At 41.5% G+C, this 2,282-nt stretch overlaps 1 annotated feature.

Annotated features, from left to right (window-relative positions):
- Positions 1,772-1,941: an enhancer, noted in NCBI's record as "experimental_84199 CRE fragment used in MPRA reporter constructs". NCBI's record gives its function as "activates a minimal promoter by MPRAs in K562 erythroleukemia cells, with activity observed for both the introgressed and non-introgressed 5:2576366 variant alleles {active_cell/tissue: K562}" and the evidence as "EXISTENCE:reporter gene assay evidence [ECO:0000049][PMID:34662402]".

Genomic DNA, 2,282 nt, shown 5'->3' on the forward strand with positions numbered 1-2,282 from the left:
TGAAAACACGTCTGCACAAAGAACTGTAACCGAATATGCACAGCTGCTTTATTCTTAATAGATGAAAATTGGAAACAGCCCAATGTTCATCATCTGATGGGTGCAAAGTCGGAGGGTGGCCTAGGCACACAATGGAATACTGCTCAGCACTAAACGAGGCAGACCAAGGACGCAGCCACCATGGGCAGATGGATCCCTGAGCGTGGGATCACGTGAAAGTCACCAGGCAGAAGCTAGTGAGCTGCAGGAGTGGTTCCGTTCACCTAAAATTCTAGAAAAGGCAAATCTGAGTCACAGGGGCAGGTCAGTGATTGCCAGGGTTGGGGGACGGATGGACTAGCATGAGGGACGAGGTGCCTTTTCGGTTGGGGAAATGCCCTAAGTCTTTATCATGGTGGCTGTCACACGGTATACACATATGCATGTCACACGGTATACGCATATGCATGTCACACGGTATACACATGTGCATGTCACACAGTATACACATATGCATGTCACATGGTATACATTCATCAAAATTCATCAGCTGTGCACTAAAGGAGGGTGAATTGGACTACATATAAACCTTACCTCAGTAAATATGTTATTTTAAAAAATCACTGCAGTGGTCAAATGAAGAAGGAATTAGAAAGATGGCCCAGGGTAAAAAGGATACCAGAAATGAGGCTACTGTGGAATCCCAGGATGAACATGGTAGCAGCAATGAGTGGTGGGAGTGGGAGGGTGGAAGAGAAAGATGCTGGTAATGTGAACTCAAAGTCAGTTTTCCCTTTAAGAAATTGAATACTTTTGGGGAAAATTCCATTCCTAACAGAAATGTTTAATGGTGACGTATGTTCCGTATTGAAAATATGATACATTGCATGCCAAACCAAAATGTCCCCAAAGTGCCCCTAACAATATCCTTTTGTTTTCCTCTAAGAGAAGTCACAACTTTTTTATGATGTGTTTCACCCCCTTGGCCCAATCTCTGCACAGGCAAACCTAGGCAGGACCCCTGAGCAGGAGCCCTGCTGTGTCCTGCCTCCGTCCTTCCTGCTAGAAGCCTCCCTAGGGGCCCAGCTTCACCTGAGCTTACAAAACATTCCCCCTCACCCAGCAGGAAGGCTTTCCAACCGCATCCCCTCCGAGAGGGGCAGGGGTCCCCTCTGTGCACTTTGCCTCCTGGGCAATTGTAGCTGCACATTAACCACTACATTCCAAGAGAAAATGAGACTCACTGAAATTTCAGATTGTTGAAAGTTCTTTGCCTTAAATGAAGTTAACCCTTCAACAGTCAGGATGTGCCTTTTTTATCTGCAGCCTCACTGGCTGTGAGTTCCATGGGAAGAGTAAAGAATGCTTATCAACTAACCCTCCAAAGAATGTATGGGCGTTTGGGTGGGAACTAAGAATCCACTCAGCTGCAGAGACTTCTCACATATGAATCCGTGTTCTTCCCAATATTTGGCTCTCATCCACTTAATTTTCAATACTCTAGACATTTTCCAATATACATTTGTGCACATGTCTCAATGATTTTTCTCTTTTTGCAACACTAAGCATTGATTTTTCTTCTCTGTGATTAAGTTATTCCAGATAGTCAGTAGATTGTGGGGGGAGAAGACATTTTATTAGTTAATAATTTCCTTACCAAACTATTTGACTCATGGCTGAATCATACATTTTTATGGGCTACTAGGCCATTGAATCAAAGGCAGAAGATCTGAAGCACATTTTCTGCTTTCTGCCATAATATTTTACCAACGAAGAAGCTTTGACCATTTCAAATATTTCAGTACCACTTTTTCTTATAAGCCTTCATTCAGCTGAAAATTCAGTGGACTATAAAATATTCACATCAATTATCACCAAAATAACCTGGAAAGGAAAATATTAGCTAACATATTTATAGTAGCTTGAATATATTTTTGGCTGCAATGTGTATTGCCTGCTCTTAAATCGGAATATGACCACGCAAAAAAGAATTTAGCAATAAAACATCAAAGAAAATGTAATGAGAGTTTAGTGATGCAAAAAATTATCTCTTTTTCTTATCCAGGTCCTTTACCTGAAGGAATAACCGAGAATCTCTGTCATACCCTGCTTTTCATAGGATAATAAAATCACAGCTGTCTTGCTTTTATTTATTCTTTCCCTGTGATGTTGCCATCCCCCAAATTCACTGTGTCCCTCCCAATATTTCTATGTTGATGTCCTCAACTCCACAAGTACAGAATAGGATTGTATTTCAAGATAGAGTCTTTAAAGGGGTAATGAAGGTAAAGTGTATTTCAAGA

Source organism: Homo sapiens, chromosome 5, assembly GCF_000001405.40.
Source record: "Homo sapiens chromosome 5, GRCh38.p14 Primary Assembly".
NCBI lineage: Eukaryota > Metazoa > Chordata > Mammalia > Primates > Hominidae > Homo > Homo sapiens.